General features: G+C 38.6%; 1 protein-coding gene and 1 long non-coding RNA gene across 9 annotated transcripts in view; one reads left to right on the top strand and one right to left on the bottom strand.

Moving 5' to 3' along the window:
- The window catches only part of LOC101927434 (uncharacterized), a 43,823-nt gene extending 24,896 nt beyond the window's left edge, over positions 1-18,927 (top strand). Inside the window, exons 2-4 of the long non-coding RNA NR_125943.1 lie at positions 17,612-17,972; positions 18,101-18,177; positions 18,762-18,927. This is a non-coding gene — a long non-coding RNA (uncharacterized LOC101927434). The remainder of the gene's footprint in view (positions 1-17,611; positions 17,973-18,100; positions 18,178-18,761) is intronic.
- Positions 1-19,855, bottom strand: part of ADGRL2 (adhesion G protein-coupled receptor L2) — a 687,801-nt gene that overhangs the window by 461,126 nt on the left and 206,820 nt on the right. The window lies entirely within an intron of this gene.

The following is a 19,855-nucleotide window of genomic DNA, read 5'->3' as shown; positions in this document are numbered from 1 at the left end:
CTGGGACCACAGGCATGTGTCACCACACCTGGCTAATTTTTTACATTTATTTTTTGTAGTGGTGAGGTCTCACTATGTTGCTCAGGCTGGTCTCAAACTCCTGGGCTCAAGTGATCCTCTTGCCTCGGCCTCTCAAAGTGCTGGGATTACAGACATGAGCCACCAGGCAGGCCTATTCATTGGTGTTCATGGCTTTTTTTTTTTTTTTGGTTTCCAGATGATAAAAAAATGACCACTAAATTATATGATAAATTTGGTTTTTGTTCAGCCTGAAAAATTGCTTGGAATAACCTGGTGAAACAGTAATCTCTGCAGCTCAGATATTATTCATAAAAGCTTAGTGCTTACGTTTATATTCATACTCAGCAGATACTGAGAGAATAGAAGTTAAAAAAAAGAAAATGTATGTTCTGAATCTGGTACATAACTCTTGCAAATCATTATTTCCAGGATTCCTCCTAGCAGGATAACTGGAAAAGTAAAGTAGAGGAAACATTAGGGTAACCTTATTTATTGGGGCTCTGAGGGTTTATAACAAAATGACAATTATGTATAATATTTTGAACATGAAAAATGAGTAGAATTATCGTTGTGCTAAGTACTAATAATAATGGAGCTGAATTTATTGAACTCCTATGCACATTTAAGCTTATACTAACGCTGAAGGGTAGTTATTCATATTCCCATTTTGCAGATGAGAAAACTGAACTCAGAGAAATTAAATAGTATATTAAAGCCATGGAGCTTGTAAAGGCATGACTAAAATTCGAATTTAGTTTTAATTCCAAGCTTAGGATGCAGACTTCAGTTATTTGGGATGATGAAAAGGCAAGAGGGAAATTCAAATCATTTTTTATGCCAGTTAGACCTAAGTATATGACCAGTGGTTTAGTGGTAGGTCCAGGTTTTACGGTGTCTAAAGTATATAAAAATTTAAGAAATTTAGGGGCTTATGCAAGTGAGGGGTCCACTGACCTTCCTGATAAATTCATCTTGGAGTTGGTTTCAGGAATCCAGCCAATAACTAATATAGGCCCTTCATTCTAGACACGATCCTAGCCCTAACCTGAAATCAAGAATGCCACTAGGCATTTGTGCTAGTACAGTGGTCCTCAAACATCTCCCTGTCTCTGTTTTTTTCCCCCGATCTAACTTATTAAAGGATATAACAAAGTTCCTCCTGTAAGAGTGGCTCATTAAGACGTGGGTTCCCAGCAGTAAATGTCACTGCTCTGAGTTGAGACTCACAGCTTGAGGATTATGAGAGTTTGGTTTTCTTCTTAAGATGAATACATTATTTATTCAGCACCCTAATTATTAATTGCCTGTCTACTATGAACTAAGCATGTGGCTAGTTTCTAGATTACCATAGATAATAAGAGAGAGAATTCCTACCCTAATGAAACTTCTAATTCTCAGAATCTCTATCAGTTATATAATTTCTCAAACACAGTATATAGGTTCAAAAGTTGGTGTAGTCTATGACTTTTCTTTTTCCATTACCATACATGCAATCTATTATGTTGATTTTTCCTGTGAAAGCTCTTTTGATTCATTCTTAATTCTCCTTTTCTACCAGCAAGAGTCCTTCTCTCCTCAAATGTGGATTATCAGAATATCTTCTTTAAAGTTTCTTTCTTCTTTTAACAACTATTTATTGCATACCAGGCATGCATCATATAGAGTGCTAGGCATTTACCTTTCTTTCTTTTTTTTTTTTTTTGAAACAGAGTCTTGCTCTGTTACCCAGGCTGTAGTGCAGTGGTGCGATCTCAGCTCATTGCAACCTCTGCCTCCCAGGTTCAAGTGATCCTTCTGCCTCAGCCTCCCAAGTAGCTAGGACTACAGGTGTGCGCCACCATGCCTGGCTAAATTTTTGTGTTTTTAGTAGAGATGGAGTTTCACCATATTGGCCAGGTTGGTCTCGAACTCCCGACCTCGTGATCTGCCTGCCTTGGCCTCCCAAAGTGCTGGAATTACAGGCATGAGCCACCAGGCCCAGCCCAGGTATTTAACTTTCTAAACTCTGTTCTATTTCTTCTCCAGCTCATCCTATGTACTAAAAATACTACACTGCTCGTGTCACTTAGAGCTTCTAGAGGCTTTGTCCCAGAGTAATAAGGCTGAACATGATGAAGCTGAGTATGATGAAGATCAAGGCCAGGCATGGTGGCTCACGCCTGTAATCTCAGTACTTTGGGAGGCTGAGGCAGTCGGACCACTTGAACTCAGGAGTTGGAGACCAGCCTGGGCAACATGGTGAAACCCCATCTCTACAAAAAATACAAAACAATTAGCTGGTGTGGTGGTGCATACCTGTGGTCCCAGCTACTCAGGTAGCTGAGGTGGGAGGACTGCTTGAGCCCAGGGAGGTGGAGGTTGCAGTGAGCTGAGCTACTGCCTCTGCACTCCAGCCTGGGTGAAAGAGCCAGACCCTGTCTCAAAAAAAATACAAATAATAATAATAATAAAATCACAGGAATACTTTTGAATTTGTGCCACCTTGAGGAAGGGGCAGCTTGAGTTGATCTGAAATATGGTGCATGCCTGAATGAACTGTATCCTGGGCCTGTACTGGTATGAAGATAAAGCTGAAGCCTGGAAAATGTGAGAAGAGGGTACATTCATCCTCAACTTCTAGGCCTGTCACTACCAGGTGCTAGGCCTGTCACTACTAGATGTATGATCAGTGATCTATAAGTATTTAATTGATTGATCCCAGTGCATATTGAGTGACAACACTGTTCCTGGCATTCAACCCTGTAGCCATCATCTAGCCCAGATTTATGCCTTTTTGTCAGTGACCTTGGGCATGTTATTGCGTATACAGTTTCTCTTGTGAGCCTCATCTCTTCCTCCTGCCCTAAAACAAATTTCATGATACCACAGGTTTTGTTCCTCAATAATATTTAGTGTCATTTAACCTTATTAACTACTTCCATACAGTAAATCCTGTATGGTGTGATGGTGAAACTGCAGACTTTGGGCTTTAGACTGCTGGGATTTTATTTCTGAGTCTACTATTTACTGGCTTTGTTATGCTGGGCAAGTTAATTTGCCACTGTCAGAGTCACTGTTTGTGTAAGTAAACTGAGGAGAAATTATAGTACAGTCAGCCTTCCCCATCCATGGGGTCCGCATCTATAGATTCAACCAACAGTGGTTCAAAAATGTTTTTAAAATAACAATACAACAATAAAAAATAATGCCAGCATTTTGAAGATGTTCATGTTATTGACTTACTTTTTCTATATTTCCCATAGCTCCTGGCATAGTTGGACAAAAGATAAGCATTCAATAAGTACCTAATTGCACCCAATATATATTGGACAATTCATGGCAACAGATAACACAATTATTCCCAGAAGAATGCCACAGGGCGCAACTGAAACATGCTGCTTATTCTTTCTGCAGTCCGTTACTAGCACCAACTTTATCCTATTCTCCTGGCCCCTGCCTCTCATGCTTCATATTAAAAGTCACCAAATGCTCTGGATTCTTACTTTCCAGTTTCTCCCAAATCAGTTCCTCCCTTCTTTCCACTGTCCTTCACCTCTGCACTATAGCAACAGCTGCTTTGCTGCATGCACCTCCCCTTGTGGGGTCACAGCTCCTACTTCCCTCCTGGGATTCTATCCTCCCACCACGGCCAGGTTAGCTCCCTCAAACAGCATTTTTCATCATGTCTTTCCTCCACTGCTCATTTACTTACCTAATAAACTCCACACTCCTCAGCTTAGTTTTTAAGGCTCTTCGTAAATCTTTTTTCACCTTTTCTAGCAACATTTAGGTTTTACTTTTGGCTCCATGTGCTCTTAGCACTGGCCTGGAAATCTTATTCATCGCCCTCTTAAAACACCCTTCTTACTTCTCTGGAGTTTAGCATCTGCTATCTTCCTCACTTATAGTATCCTTTCCTATTCTCCTCATTAATACAAATCCTGCCCATCCTTCAAGATAGAGTTAAAATTCTATTTTATCCATAAGGTTTTCCCTCTGCATCAGCCAACAATGAACCACTTATTTACTTTAATCCTGCAATCAATAGATGTTTATTGAGTCTTTATTATATGCCAGGAAATATTCCAGGTGTTCAGACTACCAATATGAATAAGGGCCAGTTTCTTTTTCTTTTTTTTTTTTTTTTTTTTTTTTTTTTTGAGATGGAGTCTCACTTTTTTGCCCAGGCCGGACTGCAGTGGCACTATCTTGGCTCACTGCAAGCTCCGCCACCCTGGTTCATGCCATTCTCCGGCCTCAGCCTCCCGAGTAGCTGAGACTACAGGCGCCTGCCACAGCGCCCGGCTAATTTTTTGTATTTTTGGTAGAGACGGGGTTTCACCGTGTTAGCCAGGATGGTCTCGATCTCCTGACCTCCTGAATCCACTCGCCTCGGCCTCCCAAAGTGCTGGGATTACAGGCGTGAGCCACCGCGCCGGGCCGGGTCAGTTTCTATTCTAAAGAACCTCAGCTACCTTCTATCTAATTCCTATAGCACTCATGGGATCACTCATTTTGGCACCAGTTGTATCTTGCTTCTTTTCTCCAACTCTCTTAGTTCATCCAGGCTGCTCTAACAAAATATCTAAAACTGGTTAATTTATAAATAATAGAAATGTATTTCTCACAGTTCTGGAGGTCGGGAGGTTGAAGATCAAGATGCTGTCAGCGAATTTGTTGTCTGGTAAGGGTTCACTCTGTACTTGCAAGAAGATATCTTTTTCCTTTTCTTTTTCTTTTGAGACGGAGTCTCGCTCTGTGGCCCAGACTGGAGTGCAGTGACGCGATCTCGGCTCACTGCAAGCTCCGCCTCCCGGGTTCACGTCATTCTCCTGCCTCAGCCCCCCGAGTAGCTGGGACCACAGGTGCATGCAACCGCACCCGGCTAATTGTTGGTATTTTTAGTAGAGACGGGGTTTCACCGTGTTAGCCAGGATGGTCTCGATCTCCTGACCTCGTGATCCACCCGCCTCAGCCTCCCAAAATGCTGGGATTACAGGCGTGAGCCACCTTGCCTGGCCAGAAGTTATCTTCTTACTTTGTCCTCAAATGGTGGAAAGGACAAGGCAGCTCCCTCCGATCACTTTTTTTTTTTGAGGCAGAGTTTTGCTCTATCCCCTAGGTTGGAGTGCAGTGGCGCGATCTTGGCTCACTGCAACCTCCGCCTCCCGGGTTCAAGTGATTCTCCCGTCTCAGCCTCCTGAGTAGCTGGGATTACAGGCGACTGCCACCACGCCCAGCTAATTTTTGTATTTTTAGTAGAGACAGGGTTTCTCCATGTTGGCCAGGCTGGTCTCGAACTCCTGAACTTGGGTGATCCACCTGCCTTGGTCTCCCAAAGTGCTGAGATTACAGGCCTGAGCCACCGTGCTCGACTTCGACCGCTTTTATAAGGACACTAATCCCATTCATGAGGGCTGGTGTAGGAGGCGACCTAAACTCCTCCCTGAGACTCCCCCTCTTAATATTATCTCATTGGGGAGTAAGTTTCAACATATGAATTTTGGGGGGTTAAACTCAGACTACAGCTGCGACTGACAACACTTTGTGATGAGGGAAACTGGTTGAGGAAGTCTATGTGACAAACTCAAGTGAGGAAATGATCTGCATTGTTTTTGTGGTTCCTAAAGAGCAGAACCAGGTTGGTATTTTATTGGTGATCCTAATAGTACCTAACAGATTAAATGCTGAATTCGACTTTATTGAATGAAAACATTCTGATTTTCATGTATAGATTTTATATTTTGCTTTTGCAAATTTTGCAGCCAGATGCAATTTAAAGATCATTTTGATTTTAATACCACCCAAACAGATCCATTAACCTGATAGCCAGAGAAATACTGTAGCCAGAGGTGGCTCCAAACGGTCAATACTATTCCCTCAAATAGGGTAAATCAGGGCATCATAGCAGTATAAGGAGGTGCGCTTGTGTTAGCTCTGCCCTTGGGCGAACTTACCCTAGAATTGTAATAACAAACAGACAAAAATATCTGATTTAATTTACAGTTTCCAAATATGGAGAATGTGTATATTCGAAATAGACTTTCCTCTGGGCATTACTGACACAGGTAATAGCAAGGTAGGCATATTTACATAAGTAGAAACTGTTTTTAAAGCAGAAAAAATACAAACATTCCTAAAAAAACAAAATCTCCCTCCCAGAGAAAAATCTCAATAGGAGAGAATCCTAATCGGGACTTTTAAAAGTTTAACACAGAATGATGTTAAACATTACATATCTCTTCTCTACATTCAAAGTAATTTCTTTTTGAAGATGTGTAATGACATTCTGCTTTTTCTTTCTTTATATTTTTAAAAGGTTAACTTAATTGTATCTAAAAATATATACATATCTTTTTAAGTAGTTTGCTACCTATCAAGCTATAATATTGACATGAATTTGATATATGAATTTCAAGTGAAAGGAGGGTAATAATGTGAGGAAAATATCTACAGGGAATAGTTAAACTGCAAAATAGCTGATCAGGGTTTTTATATCATAACTTTTATTATTCCTAGACCATTCTCACTAGACATTAATTCCCATAGGTTCAAAAGTTATTCTGCATGCCTGTATGTTGCAAAGTGGCTTTCAATTATTAATAAAACAGGCAAATATTAAATGAAATGCACTATATGATACAAGGAGACAAAATAAGCTTGCAAATCTGCTTAATTTTACTTCTTTAGCTTTTATGTAATTGTCTATAAAAGGAAACAGAGAAAATTCTTTGTCCAATTAAACTGGGAAGACACAGTGAGTGGCAGCTCCATGATCTGATCTTGGTCTTCTCAGTGGGTGTCATGGGTTGTGCACCAAGATGAGGATACACTTTTAGTTATTAGCGTTCAACTCACATTATGCTTATCTTTCCTTATTGTGCATCTTTCATCAGCTTCACTGTCAAATAAATATCAATCCATGTTTTAGAAAAGTAATGTCAAGTAATTTGAAAGTTGTAAAGAAAATCATGGCAAAAGGTAGAACATTTAAGCCAGTGGTGTGCTGGTCTTACTACTGGCTCCACCTTTGCCCCCCACCAATATAATAAAGCCCTGATGTGTAGCGTTTCCTATTTCCTTGGGATAAATACTCTCACTAAAGTAGATTTCAAGCTAACAACACGATACCACTGAAAATGGAGTTAGGAAGACATTTTATACACTATGTCAGAAAGTACACTTTATAGGCAGGGTATGGTGGCTCATGCCTGTAATCCCAGCTCTTTGAGAGGCTGAAAGGGGCAGATCACTTGAGGTCAGGAGTTCAAGACCAGCCTGGTCAATGTGGTGAAACCCCGTCTCTACTAGAAATACACAAATTATCTGGGCTTGGTGGCACACGCCTGCAATCCCAGCTGTTCGGGAGGCTGAGGCATGAGAATCGCTTGAACCCAGGAGGCGGAGGTTGCAGTGAGCCGGGATCGCACCACTGCACTCCAGCCTCGGGGACAGAGGAAGACTGTCTCCAAAAAAAAAAAAGTGCACTTTGGAATGTCCATGTTGACATTTTTACTACACGTGTGGAATGTTAGGCTCCTTCCGGGTACTCTCTAATTTGTATTTAGATTTCAAGCTTACTGGTTTGAAGAGAGGTGAGCCACTCTCCCTTCAGTTAGAAAATATGTGCCTGAAAGAGCCACACTTATGGGGTATGACTGTGAGTTACAAGCTAAGGTGTTTAAAATTTGTTATATTTTAGTTTATTTTTTGAATAGTGATGACCTCAAAAGGTTCTAATTCAAAAGATATAAAAAGTATGAGAAGTCTCTCTTTTTACCTCTGTCCCCTAACCACCCAATGTTCTTCCCTGGAGATAAACAACTTTGTTACTTTCTTGGGTACTTTTACAAAGATATTCTATACAAATGTATATATTCCATCCTATTTTTATTTTTTTTTAAGAGACAAGTTCTCACTGTCGCCCAGGCTAGAATGCAGTGGCACGATCATAGCTCCCTGTAGCCTCTAACTCCTGGACTCAAGAGATCCTCCTGCCTCAGCCCCCTGACCCTCTCCAGTAGCTAGGATTACAGGCCTGAGTCAAGATGTTCTCCCCAAACTCCATTTTAAAAACATAAATGTAGCATGCTATACATACTGTTTTGCATCTTGTTTTTTTGGTTGTTGTTGTTAATATAAATTAAAAAATGTTTAGTATTTATACATGAAGTTTTTTTTCTTTCATATTTGGATAAATTATTACATTATATGGTTGTTCCATTACGTGTTTAAACTGTCTTCTATTGATGTCTTCCTATTTAGGTTCTTTCCTATCTTTTGCTTTTATACACACACACACTGTAATGGCATCCTATATATATGTAGTTTTTCACATGTATGTGTATAATCCTAAATAGATTCTCAAATTAATTCCTAGAAGCATAATTTCAGTTTCAGAAGATTTGTATGTTTGTATGATTTTTATTTATTTATTTTTTGAGACGGAGTCTCGCTCTGTTGCCCAGGCTAGAGTGCAGTGGCTCGATCTCGGCTCACTGCAAGCTCCACCTCCCAGGTTTACGCCATTCTCCTGCCTCAGCCTCCCGAGTAGCTGGGACTACAGGCGCCCGTCACCACATCCGGCTAATTTTTTGTATTTTTTTTTTTAGTAGAGATGGGGTTTCACTGTGTTAGCCAGGATGGTCTCGATCTCCTGACCTCGTGATCCAACCGCCTCGGCCTCCCAAAGTGCTGGGATTACAGGCGTGAGCCACTGCGCCTGGCCCATTTTTTTATTTTTGAGATGAAATCTTGCACCGTCACCCAGCTGGAGTGCAATATCGCAATCTTGGCTCACTGCAACCTTCACCTCCCGGGTTCAAGCAGTTCACCTGCCTCAGCCTCCTGAGTAGCTGGGATTATGAGCTCCTGTCACCACACCCAGCTACTTTCTTTTGTATTTTTAGTAGAGACGAGGTTTCACTATCTTCGCTGGGCTGGTTTTGAACTCCTGACCTTGTGATCCGCCCACTTCGGCCTCCCAAAGTGCTGGGATTACAGGCACAAGCCACCGTACCAGGCCCGATTTTTAAAATTTATTTATTTTTTCTGCTATTGCCAAATTTATTTCTATGGAAGTGGAAGAGATTTAGTTTCTCCAAACCTTCACCAACATAGGGTGTTATCCAACTTTTGGATCTTTGCCAATCTGATACATGAAAAAAGTTTGGGTGATTTCGATTTGTATTTTTCAGATTATGAGTGAGATCAACCATTTTTTGTTTTATTTAAATGTATTTTCTTTTCTATGAGATAGCTGTACATTTCCTTTACCCATGTTTTATTGGGTTATTTTAAAAAATATTGACTTATGGTATAGATGAGTTATAGATTCAAATTATTGTTCTATCTCTCTCCTTCCTTCTCTCTCTCTCTGTGTGTGTGTATGCATGCCAATATTATAATACTTTAATTATTGAAGCTTTATAGGATGTTTTAATAACTGGAAGATCTAGTTCCCTTTTAGTGTTTTTCTTTTTAAGACTTCCTGGCTCTATTTGATTGTTTATTTTTTCATATAAAAAATTTGGTATCAGCTTATCTTGTTCTGGAAATACTTTGATTAACGTTTTATATTAGTATGACATAATAGCTACAGGTAAAGTTAAGGATAATTGACATCTTTATGATATATCTTCTCATCCAAGAACATTGTATGGGTCTCTATCTATGCAAGTGTTTTTTGTTCTTCAGTAGTTTTTGAACTTCCGTCATATAGTGTTTGCTCATATTTTTGTTAATTTTTTTTCCAGGTAACTTTTTTTCTGTGTTGCCATTGAGAAGCCATATCTTTAATTGTAGCCTCAACCACTTTACAGTTCTTGAATTACATAGTTTGGAAACTAAATAAAAAAGATATCTTCTCTAGAGCATATTCAGATATGAAATTCCTACTGAACCTTTGAATGTAAATAAATTACTAAAAATGAGCCATAGGTTTCTTGTTGAGTAAGAGTAAAATTTGTATACTCAATTTATTGGACTGGATAATGAATACAAAACAATCAAGCACGCAAAAATTAGCTTTATCATCCTAATAATTTAAGAGATAAAATACGGATTTTTATCTGTTGTATTAGAATTACACTTAACTTCACTGGTTTAAATAATTTTCAATGTTGTTTTTGTCCCTTTTCCTCTTAAAAAATCAGCAAGCAAGTACATATTAAAGACAGAAAAAGTATAGCTTAAACCACATATAGAACATAACTTCTTAAGCTATGCATCACCTATACTACAGGACAATCCTGGGATCTACACCTCCTTGATATGTGCTGCTGGCCCTCTAGATGCCACATAAGCCAACTGTGCATGTGCACTCACCAAATGGAGAAGAAGAGCTCTTGAACTGACATGTTATATTTATAATGTTCCTCTAGTAATGTAGTAATCCTAGCACCCTCAATATATTCCTTAATCACTTAATCACTACCAACCAGCAATTCTTTTTTCCCTTTTTTTCAAATTTCTTGATTCTAACCACTCCATCAATTCCTAGCACTGATTTTATTAAATCAGTATATATGAAAGTATATTTATGGCCCGGCACAGTGGCTCACACCTGTAATCCCAGCACTTTGGGAGGCTGAGGTGGGCAGATCACCTGAGGTCAGGAGCTCGAGACCAGCCTGGCCAACATGGCGAAAACCCATCTCTACTACAAATACAAAAATTAGCTGGGTACAGTGGTGTGCGCCTGTAATCCCAGCTACCCAAGAGGCTGAGGAAGGAGAATCGCCGGAACCCAGGAGGCAGAGGCTGCAGTGAGCCGAGATTGCACCACTGCACTCCAGCCTGGGTGACAGAACAAGTCTCTTTCTCAAAAAAAAAAAAAAACAAAAAGTACATTTATTATACAAGTATGTATCTCATTTGAATGCCAATGACGATATCTTCTCAATATCTTCTCAATACTGCCCATAGCAGACAGAGGTTAATACACACAGGAGAAGGACTATGAAATCATACTCTGTATTTTGTATACTCAACCAAAAGAAAAGAAGAATTTAATTCCTCCACATCATCTTTTCCCATGTCTCAGTAGCCTGACACCTTCCTCAATCACCTAACTAAAGTGTGGAAAGAATGAAAACTCTTTGAGAAATCTGTGACCCAGAAAGTGAAAAACCAAAAATTATGAAGCATCAAATGACATGCTATTTATCATTTTTCTTCTACATAAAATCCACCACTTACAGACTCTGCTTCATGGCTATATATAAAAAGCTTCAGTGACTAAGTAGTTTATATGATTTTAATATGATATATAGGTAAGTATAAGATATTTTTATTACAAAATGATTACTTCCTTATTAAAGAAGCCTTAAGAATAGAGAAAAGTAGGAAGAAATCTGTGATACCTTCATGTTCCTAAATTCAAATACAACCACTCCTTTGACTCTTTTGAAATCATAATTTTACCTGTATATATTATATAATTTTATCCTGTTTAACATATTAAAAGCATTTTTCTTTTTATATTTTAATTGTGAATAGTTTTAAAGGATGGAAAATAATATAACATTTTCCACATCACTATATAGTATAATTAGCCACAAGAGACAGTGGAATATAGCAGTAAGTGCATAGCTTTAAAGTCAGACAGATATGGATTCATCAGCTGCCATGTGTTTCCCTCTGCATGTTCTTTACTTTTTTCCCCACTGATTGAATCACTGATTTTTAGCTGAGTACATGACCTTCCAGAATAAAGATGACGTTTCCTTGCTTTTCCTGCAGCTAGCAGTTCTATCCAATGTGATGTGAATAAAATGGTGTGTGAAACTTTCTGGCTTATTTTAAAAGTTAGGGCACATGTTCTTCTTTGCTCCTTCCTCCTTTCTGTTGGCTAGAATGCTGGAAATCAAGTAGCCGTATTGGTCCCTGTGGTGGGCACAATCCTGGGATCGGGGAATGAAAAGCCAGAAAAGCCTGGGTCTCTCAGGACTTCGTGGAATGCCATATTTGTGCCAGACTGCCTGTCATAGACTTTTTATGAGAGAGACTGTATTAGTCAGTTTTCACCTTGCTGAAGAACTACCCAAGACTGGTAATTTGTAAAGGAAAGAGGTTTAATTGACTCACAGTTCTGCATGGTTGGGGAGGCCTCAGGGAACTTACAATCATGGCAGAAGGGGAAGCAGGTACTTCTAACGTGGAGGCAGGCAAGAGAGTCTGAAGGAGGAACTGTCAAACACTTATAAAACCATCAGATCTCATGAGAACTCACTCACTATCATGAGAACAGCATGGGAGAAACCACCCCCATGATCCAATCATCTCCCTTCAGGTCCTTCCCTTTACATGTAGGGATTATGGGGATTACAATTCAAGGTGAGATTTGGGTGGGGACACAGAGCCAAACCATATCAGAGACTTTAAAAGGTGTTTAAGTTCAAGTTAGTATGTGTGTGTATGTGTGTGTGTGTGGCAGAGGGGCGGGGATGGTGTTTTTATGTCACTCACAGCTTTATCAAATCCTACCTAATATAATTGGTTTTAGTACTAAACAGTAGATGAGTAGTGATTTATCTCAAAAGGATGTGTATTGCTTCTATTAAAAAACAAAACAAACAAAAAACAAAGAAAACCCAAAAGGCAGCAGGCAATACCAGGGTAGCTTGTTGGCTAATTGCAGCCACTGGGGGCCTAGATTACTTTTCTTGTTTACTTTGTCATTCTCATCATTTGCTTCTAATCCCTTCATGATCCCAAAATGGCTGCTTCAGCCTCCAGCATCATCTACTCTCATAAAAATGTTCAAAGGCAAGAAAAAAGGGAGCAGGAAAAAAGAAAATTAAAAAAGACTTGAGGAAGTGATTTTCAAGAAGCCCAAGAAAATTTATTCTTAAATCTTATTGACAAGAATTATACCACATGCCCATCCCTAGACTTAGTACTTGCAAGGAGATTGGAAGTGCTCTTATCAGCTTGGACTATTCTTGATTTATCTTCTGGGGCTGGGTACTTTTTTCTCAAGCAAAATCAGGGCTCCTTGGCAATAAAGAAGCAAGAAAGGTTGAAGGATGAGTCATTAGCCGTATCTGTCACTTTGGGCACACAACCTTGGCTTTGGGGCATTATCTGTGTAATGGGGTGACAGTAATGCCTAACTCTTAGGAAATCAAAAGAGATGCCATTTGAAAGGAGATAGTAAAATGCATTGCACATACTGGATGCTCAATATACAATAGTTATTATCATCATCATTATTTCATTAAGTTGATGTGTGAGAGTTTACTTAACTGATCCTATGCCAAGTATATTTAGATTATTTGTTGCTTCTTTGGCTATTATATATAACTTTAAATTAGTATCTTTTGTTATACAACTATTTTTTTTTCTTTCACTGCTAAAGATTCTTTTCTTGGGTATATTCCTAGAAGTATAATTACTGGGTCATTCAATAGTAATGGAATAAATTGTGATCCTTCTGGAATAGTACAGAAATTACATATGAGTCAGGAAGTCAAATACTTCTTACACCTACCCAGGCAAGTATACTGGATAATACCTATAGGTAGACTCAGCTTTTGGGAATCAGGAATACACATAAACAGAATCAACTCTGAGACATGTTCATTTTGCCATGATGTCAAAACTTTTGCTTCCAAATATGTCAATGTGGCATAACAGAAAGTGCATTGAATTTGTCTTCAAATAGCTGGGTTTAGGTCTCTGCCTTGTTAATATCCATGTGACCTTGGACATACGCATAATCTCTGTGACTCCATTCACCCATCTGTAAAATGGGCCTAATAAAAATGACCCACCTGCCTGAAATGAGTAAATACATAGGGAAATGCTTTGGAAATCGTAAAAAGCTATAGACATATAAGATATGATTATCAGTATCTATGGAAAAGATCTGAGACAGAAAAAAGTAATGCTTTAAACTTAATAAAGCAAACACTTCTGTGTTCCAGGCACAGTTCTCAGCTCTTGTTATATATCTCATTTAATCTTCACAACAAACTAAAGAGATAAATACCTTTTTTTTTTTTTTTGAGACAAGGTCTCACTCTGTTACTTAGGCTGGAGTGCAGTCGCACGATCTCAGCTCACTGCAACCTCCTCCACAACGCCAAGCCTAAATGCCATTATTATGGTCACTTTACAGATGAAGAAACTGAGGCACAGAGAAGTTAAATACCTCTCCCATAGTCACTGTGGATTTGAAGCCACAGTTTGTCTCTAGAAATCATGAGCTGAACAATAATGCTACACTGTCTGTCTTATCAAATGTTGAGGATGAACATCTCTTTCCGCTATCTTAACATCAAGTCAGAAGACTCTCACCTGAGAAGTAGCCTGCATAGCCAACAATTCCCATTTCTCTGGATAGTGGCTCCTGAGTGTAACCACATTGGGCTTCACAAAATGTGAAGCTTGAAGTGAGGTTTAACAGAATATCAGGCACAGGTTGGGCTAGTTATCTATTTTGTGGTTTGGAGTGTTCGATGTGTATTAATATAGAGTTTTGCATGTGATCAGACACGATGAGGACTAAAGAGAAAGGAGCAATCAGATCTACTCCCAGGACACACTGTGAAAGGTGGTGTTTGTTTCTGAGGTGCTTATCTAATATTTGCTAACAGCCTCTACTGCCTGTCTGCAGCTTCACGCTGCCCTTCCTGCTCTTTATTTCCTTTCACGCGTTCCTACTCCTGCCTGCCTGGCTAGCGCCTGTCACGCAGAACTGAACTCTCCATCCTTCCTCGCTAAAAACCTAGTCTCAATTAATTTTCTCTTTAAGGGAATTTAATCAATGCATTTATTGGTTATCTAAGGTGTTAAGTATGGAAATGAAGCAAGGTGCTAACTTTCCTCCCAGAGATATACGCATTTTAACATATAGTGGGTGGTAGCTTAATTCACTGATGCTGAAATTTTAGGCATTCTCAGAAACTGGTGGGTGAGAATTATTGGGTGGGATTTGTAACGCCCCTCTAACTATGCTAGCTGAGCCTACTCTGTCTCGAACAGGAAGCAAACAAAAGAAAGAGGTATGGTCAGAGAAAGGAAAAAGTCATCTTTGGCAGACGGAATGTAACTCTGGTTTTCTTTAGAAAAGCAAGTGCCCAGCTCTTCATCTCTTCCTTGCAGTGAGGGGTGGCAGTCACCAATGAGATATTCACAGTCTGCTCTGGATGTCTCACCTGGGTGCTTCCTCTCCCTCCTATTACTTCCTCTTTCTCCTTTCCTGAAATGGGGACATGGGGCTAAAGCAGTGGACAAAAGCAGTGGCAGCAGCCATATGTTGGTAGCTGAGAGGAAACGATACATTAATCCGAAGGATCGTGGTTTTGACATCCTTTTTTTTTTTTTTTTTTTTTTTTTGAGAGGGAGTCTCGCTCTGTCGCCCAGGCTGGAGTGCAATGGCATGATCTCCGCTCACTGCAACCTCCACCTCCCAGGTTCAAGCACCTCAGCCTACCAAGAAGTAGCTGAGACTACAGGCGTGCACCACCATGCCCAGCTAATTTTTGTATTTTTAGTAGAGATGGGGTTTCACCATGTTGGTCAGGCTGGTCTTGAACTCTGGACCTTGTAATCTGCCCACCTCGGCCTCCCAAAGTGCTGGGATTACAGGCGTGAGCCACCGTGCCCGGCCGGTTTTGACATTCTTCAACCAATAACCACTAACAAGGTTCACCTCTGGGTGTGGAATTATGTAGGTGAAAAAAATAAGAATTATTAGTTTAAGCTACTCTTTTTTTGTTGTTACTTGTAGCAGAATATGATTCTTAATCAATATGACCTCTGGCTGAAATGGGCTAAAGGCATTTAAAATAGCCTTCAGTGAGTAACTTGCATCTTCTCTGTCTAAAAAAAGCTAAAGTATTTACTATTTATTAACCACCCACTGTATGCAAGTTAGTGTGTCTGCGCCACCGAGATGGCATGTAGAACATATAAGCACCCAACAGAGGGGGACATGAAACTTTGGCAGCTCCAGTCATTTGCTTGAAGTCATAAAGTTAGTGAATGGAGGGGTTGGGTGTAAACTCAGACCTTTTCCCACAGGGTCTATACACTTTTCCACTTAGCTTTCCTGTCTCATCCATCTCCTAACTAGGGATAGAATGATTGCATTTCCTAGTTACTCACATTATTCCAATTTACTCCACAGGGACTTCACACATGATTACGTTCCCGAATAGAAGTTGGCCCATGTTAGACTTACAAGAATTTTCATGATTATTGAAAACATTTCTTACAATTAAATATTATTTTGTCAGATGATCAGAGCTCACTATAAAACTAGCCTTATTCATGGAAAACATGTGGGGCTCTTACTATAGACTCTAAAAGTCAGGTAATACTTTGCAGGAGTGATGGGGGTGTTGAGTAAGATGCAGGAAGAAAATGCAGGAATCTAAATAACAAAGAATCTTGGAACAAGACGTGCATTTGAGTCACTTTGTACTTTTCAGCATAATTGTCTTTCTTGGCCACCCACCGTATTCTACATTCCCAACCTTCTGGACCTCTCGCAATTGCCCTGACAAGGATCAAGTAAAGGTCATAGAAGCAGAGGCATACATCTATTGTCATTTTGAAAAAATAAAAAAAGTAAAATGCATGCTATTTTTGTAAACATATTTCAAAAGCCTTAAAACATCGACTAGCTATTTCACTTATGGGCATTTATTCTAAGGAAAAAATTATTCACACTGGCAAAGATTTGAAGGAAAGATCTTATTTTCAAGTATTGTTTATGTAACCAGTGTATTAGGACAGCCTGAAAATTAAAATTTTGAATTATTAAATTTGAATAATTATATTTGAATATTTTGATGATAAATAGTTCATTCTGACAATGGAATACCATGAAGTCATTTGAATAATTATATTTGAATACTTGATTTAATATTTCACTCAAACAATGAACTATATACAGCCATCTAAAATATAGCATATCATAAAAGAAGAAAAGAAGATTTAAAAACATATAGCATAATCTTCTATTGCTCTATATTGCCACTGACAGTATGTGCTGTATAATCTTATATTTATAAAAAATACAGTGCATGAATGTTTATGTATAAAATACAATGAAGGGACATATGATAAATGTAAATAGCAGTTATCTTTAGAAAGTGAGGCTTCGGAAATATTTTCTTCTTTTAGTTACGAATATTTTCTTATTTTCCACAATAAACATACATCATTTTTGTTCTAAGGGAAGAAACACTGAAAACAAGAATAATGAAAACTATAAAAGAGCCCACATATACAAGTCACATAGCAAAGTGAATGACCAACTACTATACTGTCTATACAGACACTGTCATAAATAAATGTCAGAACACTGTTATTTATTTTGTGCTAACAGAAGACTTTTTTTTTTTTTTTTCTGAGGTTCCTGGCTCTTAGGAAAATGATTCTCCTCTCTGAGCTGATTCTGATTGGAAGGCACCATTATCATGTTCTAAGCAAAGGCAGAACCACATTATTAGCCTTGAACAAAGGGACATAATCATTTTAGAAACCTCTAAAATAGCGTTAATAGCAACAAATACAGATTCTTTTATATAACCATCCCAAAGACACTGATGCTTCAGTTTAAATGATTTATTTTTCCTCTTGCCTTTCCTCCTCCCAGTATTCTCTTGTCTTTGTGGTGATGTGGAGGGACCCACTGACCAGAAGATACATCATTGCCTGAACACTGGCAGGAAAGGAAGAGCTGCCAAGTACCAACCAGAATCTAAACGGAGATTGTTGAAGGATGGAAGAAGAAATTAGATATAGGCTGTCAGTGCACATATTTTTTGCATTAAATTATAAACAATATGCTGTTAATATTTAAATCACGGAGGAATACCAGAAGAGAAAATATGTGTCCTTGTTTTTCTATCATTTCACTTTCTCCTCACCATGTCAATATCAAAAGTATACTGTGTCTTTGTACTCCATGTCATCAGGCATATGCCTATCTGCAAGTACACAACACTGCAGAGATGGTAAGACAAAAGCTTTATTAAATTTAATGCCCGATGCAGAATTTTAAATTTGTTGTCTTCAACTCAAATGTAATATTTTGGGGTTTTTGGTACTTATAAGCTTGACAAATCAACTTTATGTTCTTGAGTTAAAGGCAAATAAGAAGCATTCAGAAAACTTCATGAACATCAAATGTCAATTGCAACACAAGATTTTGATACAACTGTACGTGAGTCTGAAACATATGGATTGAATTTTCCTCGCAATATTCTAGTGTTTGGAAGGAAAATCTGCGCAAAAAATGTGTTGTGGGTTTTCTGAAACCCCCAAAGTTGAAAAAACATTTTGATTTATTTAGATTTAGAAATGGGATAGCCATTTTGCACCCCTGGAAACTTAATTAAGTACCAAATTCAGTTCAGCACTGCAAGGCACAAGGGCCTGAATGAGTGAATCCTCCTTTTCAGTTGCACTGGACTGTTTTAATTCATTCGAACTATGCAATCTAATCAGTGGAAGAGCCTAGAGGTTTCTTTCTGCGGCTGTAACTACCCCACATAATCTCTGAGAGCCTTCCCCCAAGGCACCTCCAATAAATATATACTCTAAACAAACATAATATGCAATCCAAAACAACCATACCACCTAGGTAAAAACTGAGATTGCTATACAAACTAAGCCTCCAGACAAATCTCCCCAACCTACAGAAATTCCATGTCTCCACTGAGTTAAGTGCATAGAAACCCCAAAGGACCTTTCTGCTTTTACTTTGTTATTTTTGGATCTTATCTCACACTTTTGTCTTTCAGCTTGATTTGACTGGATTACTTCCCAACCCTCAGTAATGCTCCATTGTGGGAGCCTGTGTCTCAACAGTTCACACCTGCCGTTTACTCCACTGGGTTGTGAAGATTCACAGAAGATGACAGGAAGGGGGGATAAATAAGCTAAAATAAACTTTAGAGGATGGCCCCATTGCTGTGGTTCTCTGATCTTGGTTGTTGTCTATAGAGCTGTCCTTCAAAGACATTGATATGCAGCTGTATTTTAGAAACATTTCCTCTTCCAGGTTAGGAGTCTTTTCCAAATTAAAGATTCAGTCAAGGGAATTGGTTTAGAACCAATTGGTTTAGAACTTCCTCTTCTTGCCTTCCTAAAAACCTAAAATCTTTGCACATAAACACAAAACCAAAAAAGTGTAAGCTTTTGATTCAGGCAGTCTGGGGATTGTGTCTCGGTTCTGTTTCATTACTGGCTGTATAACCTGGAGTAAGTATCTTCTGAAACACATTTCCCTCTTTTATAAACATGAAGATACTAGTCCTTCCCTCACTGAGCCATTTCAAGAATTAATAAAATATACTGTTTACTTCACAGAGTGTTTTGTAAGTAGTAGAAGCTCAGTGAATATTACTTTCTCTCCTCCTTTATTCTAATATCTTAGTATCTACATTTCATATATTTTGGTTCAAATCATAAAATTATTAAATAAGTCATCAAGAACAAAGTAAGAATCAATCAAATTGTCAAAAACAACACCCATTGTCTATTCAAAGTTCTCCTAATTTTTGATGCCTAAGGATACAGAGTGATTACCAAGCATCTATCAAAAATCACAACCAATCCTCTAGCTTTGTCCTCAGCAAATTGAGAAACAATTGAGGGATAATTAGAAAATGAAAAATCTCTCTCTGTCTTTCTGAAACCAGTAAGCATTAAAAAGAGAAATAAGCATGTAAGTTTAATTAGAAATTTTAAAGAAGATGGATATCTTAATTTTTCACACACTCAATATAAAAAATATACATTTATTTTTTCAAGACTCACAAATACATTAGAACATTTAAAGATTCATGCATTTTTCTCTATCAGATACCAAACATTGGCTTGAAAGATATTTGCT

This window comes from Homo sapiens, chromosome 1 (assembly GCF_000001405.40).
Source record: "Homo sapiens chromosome 1, GRCh38.p14 Primary Assembly".
In the NCBI taxonomy this organism is placed as follows: domain Eukaryota; kingdom Metazoa; phylum Chordata; class Mammalia; order Primates; family Hominidae; genus Homo; species Homo sapiens.
Note: the sequence above shows the minus strand (reverse complement) of the source record. Positions and strands in the feature narration are given on the sequence as shown.